Genomic DNA, 15924 nt, shown 5'->3' on the forward strand with positions numbered 1-15924 from the left:
CGGGAGGGCACAGCCCCAGTGGGTGATTCGGAGGGAAGGTTGTCAGCCCGAATTAGCCCAGACCTTTCATGCAGCCTTGCTGGTTCAGCTTCCTCTGGCTAAGAGGGTTTTCCAGGGTGTTGCTGGCTTCAGCACTGCCTCCTTCCCCGTCCCCAGGGACGGACACTTGGCTGTGATCCCTAAGGAGCGTGTGTCCCGAGGGCTGCCCAGGCAGGCCCTGTCTGAAGGCAGTGGAGGCTTTGGGTCATTTCATCTGCCCCCTCAGGAGCACAGAGTCGCAGCTCCGTGGAGTGCTTGGCCCATTCCCCGCTTCTGTTCTTTCACTGAGTTCCGTGCTGGGTGGCTGGTGGCCGTTTCCCTGCTCCACACCTTCCGGTCGGTGATCACAGTGTCTCTGCTTTCTAGCTGCCTTCATTCATTCACAGGAATGCCTCTGATGGGCGAGTTTCTGCTGCAGTAACAAATTAACCCTGAAATCCTAGAGGTTGGACACAACAGATGTCCATTTCTTACTTGTGACATGGGCAGGTCAGGTGGGAGGGCTTAACCTTGTACCTCAGGGACCCAGGCTGACAGGAGCTCCCCCCACTCGCCCCATCCCGGCCTGCCCCTGTCTTGGAGCCTCACAGGCTGCAGAGACACCACAGCAGAAGGGGACGGAGAGGTGCACAGCAGCACTTAGATGCCGAGGCCCAGAAGCCACGTGTTCACTTCCACCTGCACCCAGAACTGTCACACGGTCCTGCCTAACTACAAGGGACTAGAAATACGATACTCAGTGAGCAGTAACTCTCATAGCCACAGTGGACTGGTGGGGTATTTATGCAGCACCTACTGTGTGCCAGGCCTTCTCAGGGCTCTAGAAATGCAGAGGTGTCCCCCTGCCTTCCTGGAGCTCATAGTTTAGTGGTGGAAACAGAATTGAAGTAATTACAGCAACAGCTGTGTGATTATGTCTGCACTAAGTGCTCTGGCAGAGGAGCCCAGAGGGCCGTGACAGCATATCTGAGAGCCCGGACATGTCTTGAGAGGTCAGGGAACGTCTGTCATAAGGACTGACGTTTGGGAGGAGGCCTGAAGGATAAGTAGACCTTCCCCCAGTGGGGGCGAGGAATGGGGAGAGAGTCCCTGGTAGAGGGAACCGCATCAGCAGAGCTCCGGACGTGGGAAGGAGCTTGACTCTGCGAAGGAACTGGAAGAAGACCTGTGTAACTGCAGGGTCAAGAGCTGGGAGAGGTAGGTGGGGGCAGATGGTGCCGGGTCTGGCTGGCGGTGAGGAGGAGGCTGGGACTTGGAACACCTGCCTTTTGGAGCTGTTGAAAGAATCAAATGAGCTCAGTCATTCTCTTAACAAATGCTGAGTTCCCACTCTTTGGCAGGGGGTGTTCCAGCAGTGAACAAGACGACAAATATCCCTGTTCTCAGAGCTGGCATTCGAGGAGCGGGACACAGGCAGTGAACCAGGCAGATACATAGGATAATTTTTACCTGGTGAAAAAAACTGCTGACCAGTAAATAGAGTAAAACAATAAGGAGCGTATGGATTGGAGGCTTTTGGCTCCAGGTAACGGCAACCCCCATTCATGCAGACTTAAGCAGTCAGGCCCCCCACCTCCAAGTCTGAGGGTTCTTTGGACCCTGTGAGCTGGTGACACAGCAGCTCAACAATAGCCTGGGGGACTGTCTGTCACGGTGCCTTCATCTTAAAGCAGGCACCTTCCATGGTCAGAGGATGGCAGGTAGGGATGCCCTGGGCAGTGTCAGGGCAGGTAGCGGGAGATTTTTCAAACTCTGCATGTCCCAAGGATCTGCCACTAGCGTGCCTTGGTGACAGTGAATTATAGAAGCCAGTGTGAGAGTAAGGAGGAAGCTGTTGCTCTAGTCTAGGCTGGAGATGCCAGAGGATGGGGCCAGGGTAAGGAGCATGGAGGGAGAGGAGGGGGCAGGTTCTGGGTACGGTTTGGAGGTAGAGTGGACAGGACTTGCTAATGGCATGGCTGCTGGAAAGGAGTTCTGAGCAGACACACACAGATGTCCACTGTGCACTGTATCTTCCTCATGTAAAAGTCATGTGCAGGCCAGACGAGGTGGCTCATTCCTGTAATCCCAGCACTTTGGGAGGCCCAGGTGAGCAGATCACCTGTCAGGAGTTCGAGACCAGCCTGGCCAGCATGGTGAAACCCCATCTCTACTAAAAATACAAAAATTAGCCAGGCATGGTGGTGGGCGCCTGTAATCCCAGCTGCTCAGGAGGCTGAGGCAGGGAGAATTGCTTGAACTCAGGAGGCAGAGGTTGCAGTGAGCCAAGATCACGTCACTGCACTGTAGCCTGGGTGACAGCGAGACTCCGTCTCAAAAAAAAAAAAAAAAAAGTCATGTGCATGTTACAGTCTGAGAAATCCTACAGGAAAGAAACCCGCTTCTTTGACTATGGAGCACTTTTCTTTTTGAAAGACACCCAGGAACATCTTCTACAGTGTAATTTGGAAAATGTTTAATAATGATTCCCATCCTTGCTGTACATTAGAATTATGTTGGCAACTTTAAGAAATCCCAAGGCCTGGGTCTCACCCTTGACCAATTCAGTTAGAGTTACTGAGCGACATTATAAAGCTGTATTATTTGTTTGCATTTCTTTAATTTTTTAATTTTAATTTTTATTTTTTGGAGACACAGTCTCACTTTGTCGCCCAGGCTGGAGTGCAGTGGCACAATCTTGGCTCACCACAACCTCCGCCTCCGAGGTTCAAGCAATTCTTATACCTCAGCCTCCTGAGTAGCTGGACCACAGGCGTGCACCACCACGCCTGGCTAATTTTTTGTATTTTAGTAGAGACAAGCTTTCACCATGTTGCCCAGGGTGGTCTCGAACTCCTGAGCTCAGACAATCCACCTGCCTTGGCCTCCCAAAGTGCTAGGATTACAGGCATGAGCCACCTTGCCTAGCCTGCATTTCTGATTATCAAAGTAATGCTTGTTTGTTGTTTAAAAAAAGAAATCAAAGGACCCATAATGCCCCAAGATAATCACTTTTATGAGCTGGTGTGTGTCTTCCAGATTTTTTTCAACACTTGTACCTAAAAAATGCCATACGTGCCCCAAAACAAAGTGGTTCGATAGCTTTCCAAAGAGATGAAAAAAAGTTTGCCAGCGGGGGGTGGGGGTGGTGGGGGTGGGGGTCGGGCATGGTGGCTCACGCCTGTAATCCCAGCAATTTGGGAGGCTGAGGCGGGTGAATCACTTGAGGCCAGAAGTTCGAGACCAGCCTGGCCAGCATGGTGAAACCCCATCTCTACTAAAAATACAAAAATTAGCCTGACGTGGTGGCACGCGCATGTAATCCCAGCTACTCAGGAGGCTGAGGCAGGAGAATTGCTTGAACCGGGGAGGCAGAGGTTGCAGTGAGCCAAGATTGCACCACTCTACTCCAGCCTGGGCAACAGAGCAAGACTCTGTCTCAAAAAAAAAAAAAAAAAAAAAAAGTTTGGAGGCCCACCTGAAACATTCAGGGATTTGAACAACATAATCAGCTGCCTTTCTGTATTTCCTAATTGATTAATTTTGTGACATGTTTGGAATCCAGATATCAAAAATGTTGAATTCAGCAGGGTACAGTGGCTCACGCCTGTAATCCTGTCCCTTTGGGAAGCATAGGAGGATCGCCTGAGGCCAGGAGTTTGAGACCAGCCAGGGCAACATAGCAAGACCGCATCTCTACAAAGAAAAAAAATAGCCAAGTGTGGTGGTGTGTGCCTGTGGTCGCAGCTACTTGGGAGGCTGAGGTGGGAGGATCGCTTGAGCCTAGGAGGTAGAGGCTGCAGTGAGTCATAATTGTAACACTGCACTGCAGCCTGGGTAGCAGAGGGAGACCCTGTCTCAAGGAAAAAAGAGAAAATTGGACTCAAAATGTTCCGTATATCCTCTCACATGTCATAAAACAGTGTTAGTCACACTTTTCACAGACATCCTTATTACAAGAGTCACTTTTTGAGTCATCTACACGTATTTCCAGAGTACGCTGTCTCCACGTCCATCTGAAGCATTTGTGATGTGGCACCCCTTGAATTTGTGTATGTTGTCACTGGAAACTGTATCCCAACACTCAGGAAGCCATTCCTCTACCATTAGACAGTTTTTTTTTTTAATGCCCCTTTTAGGAATTGGTGATCTCTACAGCCACTCACTGTTAGGTTTTTTTAAAAAACCAACTCAGATGTTTAAGGACAGTTACTGAACATGGGTAAGTGGCTGAGTAAACGTGAACATATAAAAGTGGTTATATAATCGCCTGTTTGTGAGTCAATCAGACTCATCATTCCAGTGCGAATAATAAATGACAACTTAGGAAAATTTCTCCATGTTCTTTCTTCCCCCACAGTGGCACTTTGCTTTGAGACAGTTTTCAGTGCTATATTACACATCCTTTTTTTAAAAAAAATTCAAAATTCTAGTTGAAATGCCCCATTTAAGAGTTTCAACTGAAGTATTTTGTTTAAATTGGTTAAACGTGTCTTAAAATCATTTGTCCCTATCTTGCTTTTTTTGAGTCGGAGTCTCGCTCAGTCGCCCAGGCTGGAGTGCAGTGGCTCAATCTCCGCTCACTGCAAGCTCCGCCTCCTGGGTTCACGCCATTCTCCTGTCTCAGCCTCCCAAGTAGCTGGGACTACAGGCGCCCACCACCACGCCCAGCTAATTTTTTTGAATTTTTTTAGTAGAGACGGGGTTTCACCGTGTTAGCCAGGATGGTCTCGATCTCCTGACCTCATGATCTGCCCACCTCTGCCTCCCAAAGTGCTAGGATTACAGGCGTGAGCCACCGTGTCCGGCCCCTATCGTGCTTTTTAAAGGAACCTTTATTTATTTTATTATTATTACTTTTTTTTTTTTTTTGAGTTGGAGTCTCACTCTGTCACCCAGGCTAGACTGCAGTAGCTCGATTTTGTCTCATTGCAACCTCCATCTCCAAAGTTCAAGCAATTCTCCTGCCTCAGCCTCCTCAGTAGCTGGGATTACAGGCACCCGCCAACACGCTCAGCTAATTTTTTTTTTTTTTTTTTTTTTGGAGATGGAGTCTCACTCTGTCACCTAGGCTGGAGTGCTATGTCATGATCTGAGCTCACTGCAACCTCCGCCTCCCGGGTTCAAGCGATTCTCCTGCCTCAGCCTCCAGAGTAGCTGGGATTACAGGCGCACGCTACCATGCCCAGCTAATTTTTGTATTTTTAGTAGAGATGTGGTTTCACCATGTCGGCCAGGCTGATCTCAAACTCCTGACCTCGTGATCCGCCTGCCTCAGCCTCCCAAAGTGCTGGGATTACAGGCGTGAGCCACCGCACCAGGCCCCAGCTAATTTTTGTATTTTTGTTTTGTTTTGTTTTTAGTAGAGACGGGGTTTTGCTATGTTGACCAGGCTACCAGGCTGGTCTCGAACTCCTAACCTCAAGTGATCCACCTGCCTCAGCCTCCCAAGTAGCTGAGACTACAGCCACAAGCCATCACGGCCAGCTAAGTTTTAAATTTTTTATAGAGACAGGTCTCACTATGTTGCCCAGGCTGGTCTCAAACTCTAGTCTCAAGTGATCCTCCTGTCTCAGCCTCCCAAAGTGCTGGGATTACAGGTGTAAGCCACCACACCTGGCCCTTTGCTAATTTCTTACTTGGTTATTTTTTTCTAATATTGAGTTGTAAGAGTTCTCCATAAATTTTGAATATTAATCCTTTGTCAGATATGTGGTTTGCAAATATTGTTTCCCAGTCCATAGGTTGACTTTTTGTTATGTCGATTGTTTCCTTTGCTGTGCAGAAGCTTTTTAGTTCGATGTAGTCCCGTTTATTTATTTTTGCTTTTGTAGCCTGAGCTTTTGGTGTGATGTCTAAAAAATCATTGCCAAAGCCAATGTTGAGGAGCTTTCCGCCATGTTCTTTTCTGGGAGTTTTATGGTTTCAAATCTTACATTTAGGTCTTTTATCCTCTTTGAGTTTATTTTTGTGTATGGTATAAGATTTCATTCTTTGAAAGGCTCAGTTTCATTCTTATTTCCCACTTATGTTTGGATTTATTTCTGGGCTATTTTATTCTGTTTTTATGTCAGCACCATACTGTTCTGATTACTATAGCTTTGTAATATAATTTTAAATCAGGAAGTGTGATGCCTCCAACTTTTTATTTCGCAGTGTTGCTTTGGCTAGTTGGGGTTTTTTTGTGGCTATATATAAATTTTAAGATTGCTTAAAGAGCATGTTTACAGTGACTTATCACACTTGGAATTGTGAATACTTGGGAATACTTAACAAGTCTCCTATAGTATATGCCTCCCTTTTTATTATTGCCCAAACTAGCATCATTTAAGTTTTTAAAAGCTAATATGTCTTTCCCAAAGAGCACTTGTTCCAAAATAAAATAAAGTGAAAGACCCTGAAATATAGCTACATTTTCTAAGGATAATATTTTGGGCATATCTTGCTTTATCTTTGGTTACATCTTTTATCCAAAATAAATGAAGTTAACCACTCACAAATAGCTAGCTCAGTAGTGTTTGACCTTCCTGCGTGAGCTGTAACTAGTTCTCTCACATCCCCAGCTTGACCTCATTCATTCATTCATTCGACATTGATATATTTCCTGTCAGCTACCCTGAAAGCCAGTAGTAAAGATGGCCTTTGGAATGTGTTGGAATCTCAGCCATCCCCTTCTACCTCTATGACCATGGCCAAAGCACTTACCTTCCTGTGCCTCAGTTTCTCCATCTGTAAAACAGAAGAGATAATGCTGCCTACATCATAATATGGTTGTGGGCATTCAAGGATTTAAAACAGATCCATGGGCCAGGCACGGTGGCTCACACCTGTAATCCCAGCAGTTTGGGGGGCCGAGGCGGGCAGATCACTTGAGGTCAGGAGTTCGAGACCAGCCTGGCCAACATGGTGAAACCCCATCTCTACTAAAAATACAAAAATTAGCCAGGCATGGTGGTGCATACCTGTAATCCCAGCTACTGGGGAGGCTGAGGCAGGAGAATCGCTTGAACCTGGGAGGCGGAGGTTGCAGTGAGCTGAGATCACACCACTGCACTCCAGCCTGGGCGACAGAGCGAGACTTCATCTCAAAATAAATAAATAGTTAGATGGAAAGAAAGAGAAAGAAAGAAATAGAGAAAAAGCGAGAGAAAGAAAGAAAAAAGCAGATCCACAGTCCCAGGTGGAATGTGATCCAAGCTGATGTCTTGTTATCACTGCAGAAATATCGATGTGATAGTCTACCACTGTTCGCTCAGAACCTTCTAGGGTTGCCTTTCTAAAATCTGAATTATTCAGAATTCCGAAACACATCAGGCCCAAGAGGTTTAGGAAGGGATCATGCCACCGTATATATGAAGAAAGCACTTAGCCTAGTACCTGGCACATAGTAAATGCTGTGTCAATGTTAACCATTTACTGTTGCTACTATTACTAGTTAAAGTGCTTACCTCACCATCCGTAATCATCATCATGGAAAAGCGAGTGATAATCACAGTGAGATACCGTGACACACCTGCTTCAGTGGCTACGATAAAAAGAGGGCACGGAGGAGCTGAGGTCAGAGAGTTCCACAGGAGGTCTGCTAGGGACTGGGGCCTTTTCCTTACATGGATAGGGGGAGGGTTCTGAGCAGAGGAAGGACATGATCTGACCCATAGATTAATAGAGTCCCTCTGGCTGTGTGTGGCAGCAGGAGCCAGAGCCAGGAAATTGGGGCAGAAGCTCCTGCTGTGGTCCATGGTCCTGCCTGTGGGGGTGTGAAGGAGGGGTGAGCCCATTTATATCTTGAAGGTGGAGCTGACAGTGAGTACTGATGGCCTGGATGTAGGGGTGAGAGAAAGAGAGGGGGCTAGGATGACCCTGAGGTTTGGGCCTGGACACCAGCTGAGGGGTGAAGATACTGCATTGAGGGACCCCAGGGTCGGGGTTTGCAGGGAGTGGCAGAAGGCCTTGTGAAGAATCAGAGACGTGGCTGAGTCTGTTCGGTGCTGGGTGCCCGTCAGACAGCTGCGTGAGATGGCAAGGAGACAGTTGGATACGCATACCTGAAGTTGAGAGAGGTCCAGGGGGGAGAAGGAAAAGTAGGGGTCCCCAGCACAGAGGTGTTGAAATCACGAGGAGAGCCGTGTGGATGGGGAAGAGCGAAGCTGTGCGGAGAGACGGCGAGGAATCAGCGAAGGAGGCTGGGGAGGGAGTGCCAGTGAGGAGGGAGGAGACCTGGAGAGTATGGACCCCTGCAGTGAGGCAGGAGGTTGATGAGGGCCCGAGGTGATTGCTAGATGGGAGGCACAAAAGGCTGAAGGGAGCAGGTTCAAGAGAGACGGGGCTTTGTTGAGGCCTGTGAAGGTGTGACTACACGTGTTGTTTGTTGCTTTCTCTCTGTTCAGGCCACACCTGGCACACAATAGCTGCACAATAAAAATGTGTTAAATTAATGTCTTCATGGATTGGGGAGAGGTTAGAACGCAGAGGAGCCCTTGGAATTGGGGGTCGTCACTGTGGAGTATGGCAGAAGTGTGTTCTATGGACCTGGGCTCCTGTCCCCAGATGATGATGGGGAAGGAGAATCAGAAACATAACCCAGACATCTGGGCGCCCCCCAGACCATTTACTTAGTGCCTGGTGCCACCAACAGGACTGACGTGGCATCCCCATCTAGAGAATGAGTCTAATAATAATACTGACTCATGGAGCTGTTGTCAGGAATCAATGAGATAATGCTGTAAAACATCATCAGTGTTTGATAGGCTTGAGCTGTTGTTACAAGTTAAATCCTATCATTACCATTATTCTGGCTTCATGGCCCTCACCACCTAGTGGGGGAGATAGATATCAAATAATCAGGCTGGGCGCAGTGGCTCACACCTGTAATCCCAGCACTTCGGGAAGCCAAGATGGGCAGATCACTTGAGGTCAGGAGTTCGAGACCAGCCTGGCCAACATGGTGAAACCCCGTCTCTACAAAAAATACAAAAAGTAGCCAGTGTGGTGATGCGTGCCTGTAATCCCAGCTACTCGGGAGGCTGAGGCACAAGAATCACTTGAACCCGGGAGGCGGAAGGTTGCAGTGAGCTGAGATCATGCCACTGCACTCCAGCCTGGGTGACAGAGTGAGACTCTGTCTCAAAAAAAAAAAAAGATACCAAATAATCACTCAGCCACGTAATTTAACTGTGGCAATGAAACTATAAAGAAAAGGTACACAGCCACTCGAGAGGCTAAGGTGGGAGGATCGCTTGAGCCCGGGGGGTCGAGGCTGCAGTGAGCCATGATCACGCCACTGCACTCCAGCCTGGGTGACAGAGCAAGACCTTGTCTCAGGAAAAAAAGAAAGAAAAAGTGCAGGGGGCCTTGAGAGAGAATAACAGGCAGGAAGGAGGTGGGGGTCTTATTCCAGGCTGGGGTGGGCGTGGGAGTGTCAGAGGAGGCTTTTCTGAAGAAGCAACCTGTGAAGCTCGACGGGGAGGATGAACAGGAACTAGCCTGGGGTGGGCTGGAGGCTGGGGCATTTTGGCTGGGAGAATAGTCTGTGTGCAGGTCCAAGGTGTCGCAGGTGGGGAGGAACTGGGTGTGTTGGAGGAGCAGAGTGCGGGAAGGAAAACTTGGGTCAGCTGGTCTGGTGAGCCACGGTAGGAGATTTGGACTTTCTTCCCACAGCCCCTGGGAGCCACAGAAGGGTTTTCAGGGGAGAAGTGATACAACTTCATTTAATTCTTTCTAAACTTCTGTGTGCACTTTCAAGCCTTGATGTCCTGACACTCTTCCTCCCCCAGGACAGTTTGTACCGCTCCAGGGTCACGTCAGAGACTCCAGAGCCGCCTCCACCACTGTGATTCCTTGAAGCTTTTTGCCGTCATCTGGCCACTCAGTCGGCGGGGTTGAGAGGAGCTTTCTATAGACGAGAAGGTGCCCTGGTTCTCGACTCATCAGCCTCTAGGAAAGAAGCAGCTTGCTGGTCCATCCCAGGCTGCTGGGAGGCCCGAGAAACAGGTCACAGCAGCCCCGCCTCCTCCATAGACCTCCAGGCCTCTCAAAAGGGACCCCCACCTGCTGCCCGCAAAGATGGCCTCATTTCCTCTCAGGCCCAGCGCTGCCAGCAGCCTGTCCCCCCTCCTCATTTCCCTATTTCTTTTGAGTGGCCAGATGACAGCACAAAGCTTCAAGGTCGGGGGCCGTGGGGTGGTGGTGGAGTCTTTGACCTCATGCCGATCAACGTGCTTCTCTCGGTTCCCTGTTCTGGGCCCTGCCCTGGAAAGAGGCAGGGTGGCCGGGGAGGGGAGTTTCCAGATTACCTGTGTCTCCTGGGCATGGCACAGGAAATGACTCCTTCATAGGCTGAGAGTTTTGGGAGGCCCTGTGCCACAACCCCCCAGCAAGAGCCCACATGAATCCGCCATCTCGCCCGCAGCCTGGGGATGCTGCTGGATTTTCCGGGTGTGGAGGGGCCCAGGTCCCCCGAGCAGCTCCTCTGACCCCGCAACCCGGCATCTCCTGTGCCCGAGTGGCGTCTGTCAGTTGCTCAGTAAGTGGAGGGCTTTGCTGTCCCTTCTGCTGTACCCACAGCTGCCCGCTCAGAGCAAGGTGGCTCTGATCCTGCAGGAGGGGGCTCTCTTTGAGAGCACTTGGGTGTATCGTGTCTCAGAAAACCCACATGGCTTGTAGCTGTGGCTGCCTAACAGCACCACCTGGGTGGTTGAGTGGCTCTTCCAGAGACCCTTAAGTGGATGGGCTCCCCAGCCAGGCGTGGTCCCCACTGCTAAGTATGTTATAGGTGTTGACCCACTTAGTCCTCCCAAAAACCCTGTGAGGCAGGCACTATCCAGTTTTACACATGAGGAAACTGAGGCACGGATAAGTTGGGTTGTTTGCGTGAGCCACACAGGTAGGAAGTGGCAGAACCAGGATTTGAACCCAGACCATCTGGCTTCATAATCACTCTGCTATACTTCCTGCCAGCCTGTTCTCCCCCGCCGACACACACGCACGCACACACGCACGCACTCACACACACTCCTACACATTCCTCTCTCTGTCATATCACCTGGTTTATTTTCTTCATGGCACATATCACAGTGGATTTGTGGGCTTGTGTATTGCCTGTCTACACCCTATAGTATAGCCTGTGAGCTCCTGTTTGACCATAGGAATTCTGTGTCTTGTGCATTGCCATATCCCCAGCATCTAGAACAGGACCTGGCCCGAAAGAGCTGCTCAGTAAATATTTGTTGAATGAATGAACCGACATGGCCAGTGACACAATGTCTCACTGGGTAGGTTTGTGTTATTTTTTCCTCCTTCGACCTCGATCCCTCCTGCCACTCACTTTATAGTAGAGGCAGTCACAGGCGATCTGTGGGTAGAGCGATGATTGAACCCGGGCCGGGCTGACCCCAGAGCGCACGCTCCTTTGCCCGCCCCTGCCACACTGGTATCTTTCCCTTGATGCTGACGGAGGGATGTGACACCGCAGCCAGCCAGGTCTCCTCATGGAGGGCCTCGGACCACGTGTCATTTTAGAGACCCCAGCGGCAGTCCAGATCCTGAAGTCCGACCTTTGATTCAGGAACAGAGCAGCTGCAGGAGTGCCAGGCTGGGCTTTCTGGTCCTGTCTCTCATCCTCAGCTCCAGTCAGCTGGGGATTAACCCCCTGCCGTCATCAGGAGAAATACAACATGGGAAACCGGCGGTAACTCCACTGTGGTAAAGGATGTGAGGGAAACAGTGACCCACTGCAGAGGGTTTCCTGAGCTCTCGTGCACAGAGAATCGTGCGTGTGCCTCTGGGTGGGCAGGGGACATGCAGCCTGGGTGAACATTTCCCATACACTAGGATGAATTGGCCCTTCCTGTTCATGCCTCTAATGCCCCATTTCCCTCCTACAGAGATTTTCTCTTGTTTAACAATTAAAAGATAGCAGGCTGCTTTGTGGTTCTCAGTCAGGATGCTTTTTAGTTGCAAGTAACAACCCTGGCACCATCTGGCCAATGGTTAAGACATGTGATGTGTTCTAGAAGCCCAGGGGTGGATGGGCACCAGGTGGATAGGATCAGCAGCTCAAGCATGTCTGTCAGGGACTCAGGTTCTCAGCCTCCAAAGGCCTCTGTATGCCTCTTGGTTCCAGAATGGCTTCCAGTGATAATCAGGGCCACTTGCCCTTGTCCACAGGCATCAGGAGAGAGAGAACACACCCCACTGATGGTTATAAGTGGTTCCCCTCAGTCTACAGCTGGTCCAGCTGAGGTCACGTGCCCCTCAACCAGGCCGGTCAAGTTACTAGAGGAATGCCACATCCTGATCACTCTTGACCAACTGGGTTCTGTTGTCTAGTAGCTGAAAAAAGCAGAAGTGGAAACTGAGTAGACAACCATTAATGCCTGCCAAGCTCAGTCCCTGACCAAGTCCCCTCCCTAAGTTAGCAAATCGTGTCAGGCCCAACAGATTTTGTGGCATTTGAGAACAAAGAAGTGTGGTTTTCTTTTGAAGAAGTTTAGTGACTTGCGTCCAATTTCTGCCTCCTGCATCATCCACCCTCAGTTAACACCCAAAAAAGGGGGCAGGCTGGGCGCGGTGGCTCACACCTGTAATCCCAGCACTTTGGGAGGCTGAGGCGGGCAGATCATGAGGTCAAGAGACCATCCTGGCTAACACGGTGAAACCCCGTGTCTACTAAAAATACAAAAATTAGCTGGGTGTGGTAGTGCACACCTGTAGTCCCAGCTATCGTGAGGCTGAGGCAGGAGAATCGCTTGAACCCAGGAGGTGGAGGTTGCAGTGAGCTGAGATTGCGCCACTGCACTCCAGCCTGGGCGACAGGGCGAGACCCCATCTCAAAAAAAAAGCGGGGGGTGGACAGGGGGCAAGTGGAGTCTGGCTGCCAAAGACTACTTGTCTGATGGTGGGGAAAAAAAATGGGTGTCTCCTCCCTTGTCACTGGGAAGGTTTTTGTTTCTCTTTCCATCTTCATCCTCTATAGGTCCTTTCATTCCTTCCCCCAGTCTGAAATATTTCCGGTGTGTCTGTAGCTGTGCACACATCCTTGCAAAATATATATTGAGGTTTGAGTAAAGAGTCAGCTTCCGGGGTTTGGAGCTCTGTATCTCATTCTTTCGGTTTCTTCTGGTTTTCACCAAATAGCATGTGTTCGCCATCTAGCCACGTTGCTGGATGTGTGTCCAGTGTATGGCGTCTGGCAGCTGAACAGTTGTACATGCTGTACATCTGCCACGGCTCACGTGTCTGGTCCCCTGGTGTTGGGCATCCAGGTTGCCCCTAGCTCCACCCCACTTCAAACCATGCTTCAAGTGAGCATCCGCCTACCTTTGCCTTAGGAACCCATGGGGCTTACCCCCAGGAGTCAGTTGCAGCCGGAGATAGGCATTCTCTCTCCCCAGGGGTGGGATTAAGGCACCTGCCACAACACCCAGCTAATTTTTGTACTTTTGGTAGAACTGGGGTTTTGCTCCATTGGCCAGGCTGATCTTGAACTCCTGAGCTCTCTATGAGGCTGCTCTGACCCGCGTTCCCCCGAGAGCACAGGAGGGTCCCGCTTCCCCATACCTCTCGCCACTTTGCTGTTGTCCTGCTTCCCAGTTTCACCAATCCGAAGGGTGTCAAGTGGGGTCTCCGGGGTTTTAATGCTCTGATGGTGAGTCTGGCTGAGTGCCTCTTCATGCCCCTGTTAACCTAATTCAGGCTCCCCTTTCCAAGAGAGGCCCAGTCAGCACAGGCATTGGAAGGCAAATTCTGGAGCCGGTGACCTGCGTTTGAATCCTGACCCTGCCATGTAACCCAGCAAGTTAGTTCACCTCTCTGAGCCTCAGAGCTGCCATAAATATAAAATGGAAATAATAGTAGTATCTATATTGTAAGGTATTTTGAGGATTAAATGAGATAATATATGTAAAGCATTTAAGACAGTGCTGGCTGGGCATGGTGGCTCACGCCTGTAATCCCAACACTTTGGGAGGCCGAGGCAGGTGGATCACTTGACGTCGTGAGTTCGAGACCAGCCTGGCCAACATGATGAAACCCCGTCTCCACTAAAAATGCAAAAATTAGCCCGACGTGGTGGCGCATGCCTGTAATCCCAGCTACTCAGGAGGCTGAGGCAGGAGAATCCCTTGAACCCAGGAGGCAAAGGTTGAAGTGAGCCAAGATCACACCACTGCACTCCAGCCTGGCCAACAGAGTGAGACTGTCTCAACAATAACAACAACAACAAAAAAACAGCGCCTAACACATATGTGATCTGAAAGCATTAGCAATTATTATCACTATCACCGTCATTATTATTGTTTTAAAGTTTCTAAACTTTCAAATGTTGTATCCTTTCACTTTCAATGCACGTCAGAATGGCTCTGCCTGTGGAGGAATTTCTGGCTTCTCCTGGGTCGTCCAAGAGACAATATAGTCAAAGTTGTCCGAAGAGCAGGCTTGGAGCTACTCCTTTCTTTCACATTTGAGTCGAGTGCTGTATATTCATTTCCACGTGTGTAGTTTTTAATTTTTAAAAGTATGATGTGTGCGCTGGGCATGGTGGCTCATGCTTGTAATCTCAGCACTTTGGGAGGCTGGGGCTGATGGATCACTTGAGGCCAGGAGTTCAAGACCAGCCTGGGCAACATGGCGAAACCCCATCTCTACAAAAAATACAAAAGTTAGCCCGGTGTGGTGGCACACACCTGTAATCCCAGCTACTCCAGAGGCTGAGGCGGGAGAATCACTTGAACCTGGGAGGCGGAGGTTGCAGTGAGCCAAGATCATGCCACTGCACTCCAGCGTGGGTGACAGAGCTAGATTCTGTCTTAAAAAGAAAAGAAAATATATGTAAAGTGTTTAGAGCAGTGCCTGGCACATGGTAAATGCTATAGTCATGTTTGTGGATATCACTACATTTACCAGAGTTTTCTCCTCTGGGTAGCACATAGGTTTTAATGTGACGTGATAAATACTTTTTCTTCACAGCTAGCATTTGTCTCTGATGACTATCTCTAGACATGTTCTCACGTTAGCATGTTAAATGTACCCTCTTTCTTTTTAATGACTGCCTGTATCATATGGACATATCAAAATGTATTTACTGATTCTTTAATGAGAGACTCTTGGGTTTCATCTTTTCGTCTTTCTCAAGTAGTGCTGCAGTGGGGAGCCTCGTCCAAGAAGCTCTGGGTTCTTGAGCCAGTGTTTTTACTGGAGCCAGAATTGCTGGGTCCAGGGATATGCATGGTTTTGATGTAATGAACTGACAAGTTGCCCTCAAAGACGGTTCTGCCACTAGAACCTGGTGTATCCCCACCAACAGAATACAGACCTGTTGGTTTTGATTTGTTTCTTAGTTTGGTTTGGTTTTTTTGTTTGTTTGTTTGAGACAGGGTATCTCTGTGGCCCAGGCTGGAGTGCAGTGGCTCGATCTTAGCTCATTGCAGACTCGAACTCCTGAACTCAAGTGATCCTCCCACCTCAGCCTCCTGAGTAGCTGGGACCACAGGCACACACCACCACACCTGCTAACTTTTTAATTTTTTTGTAGAGACAGGGTCTTGCTATGTTGCCCAGGCTGGTCTTGAACTCCTGGTCTCAAGTAGTGTTCCCGTCTTGGCCTCCCAAAATGCTGGGATCGCAGGCGTGAGCCACCACGCCCCACTTGAGTTGTTTTAGTAATGGGGAATTTCAGGCATTTACAGGGGTAGAAATAGCATATATTGCCTGCATGTACACAGTTGTCACCAGATTCTTTGGTGACCAACACATGGCCAGTCTTGTTTCATCCATTCCTCTGCCTTTGGATCATTTTGAAACAAATCTCGAACATTGTATCATTTCATTTGGGGAGCTTTAAACTGCATGCCCACAGCGTGCCTGTACATCGTGGAAGAGAGGAGGACATTTCTATAAAATCATCCTGTG

At 49.3% G+C, this 15924-nt stretch overlaps 1 protein-coding gene across 8 annotated transcripts in view, besides 5 other annotated features; it reads left to right on the forward strand.

Annotated features, from left to right (window-relative positions):
• The window catches only part of SIPA1L3 (signal induced proliferation associated 1 like 3), a 301162-nt gene that overhangs the window by 129027 nt on the left and 156211 nt on the right, over positions 1 to 15924 (forward strand). The gene's annotated exons all lie outside the window — the stretch shown is intronic.
• Positions 811 to 1312: an enhancer, noted in NCBI's record as "H3K27ac hESC enhancer chr19:38527685-38528186 (GRCh37/hg19 assembly coordinates)". NCBI's record gives its function as "activates a minimal SCP1, AML or CMV promoter by ChIP-STARR-seq in primed H9 embryonic stem cells {active_cell/tissue: H9 hESC(primed)}" and the evidence as "EXISTENCE:reporter gene assay evidence [ECO:0000049][PMID:30033119]".
• Positions 9427 to 9476: an enhancer, noted in NCBI's record as "active region_14566". NCBI's record gives its function as "activates an Ori minimal core promoter by ATAC-STARR-seq in GM12878 lymphoblastoid cells {active_cell/tissue: GM12878}" and the evidence as "EXISTENCE:reporter gene assay evidence [ECO:0000049][PMID:35858748]".
• Positions 10207 to 10586: an enhancer, noted in NCBI's record as "active region_14567". NCBI's record gives its function as "activates an Ori minimal core promoter by ATAC-STARR-seq in GM12878 lymphoblastoid cells {active_cell/tissue: GM12878}" and the evidence as "EXISTENCE:reporter gene assay evidence [ECO:0000049][PMID:35858748]".
• Positions 11455 to 12203: an enhancer, noted in NCBI's record as "OCT4-NANOG-H3K4me1 hESC enhancer chr19:38538329-38539077 (GRCh37/hg19 assembly coordinates)". NCBI's record gives its function as "activates a minimal SCP1, AML or CMV promoter by ChIP-STARR-seq in naive H9 embryonic stem cells {active_cell/tissue: H9 hESC(naive)}" and the evidence as "EXISTENCE:reporter gene assay evidence [ECO:0000049][PMID:30033119]".
• Positions 12857 to 13386: an enhancer, noted in NCBI's record as "active region_14568". NCBI's record gives its function as "activates an Ori minimal core promoter by ATAC-STARR-seq in GM12878 lymphoblastoid cells {active_cell/tissue: GM12878}" and the evidence as "EXISTENCE:reporter gene assay evidence [ECO:0000049][PMID:35858748]".

The sequence above is a fragment of the Homo sapiens genome, chromosome 19 (genome assembly GCF_000001405.40).
Source record: "Homo sapiens chromosome 19, GRCh38.p14 Primary Assembly".
In the NCBI taxonomy this organism is placed as follows: Eukaryota; Metazoa; Chordata; class Mammalia; order Primates; family Hominidae; genus Homo; species Homo sapiens.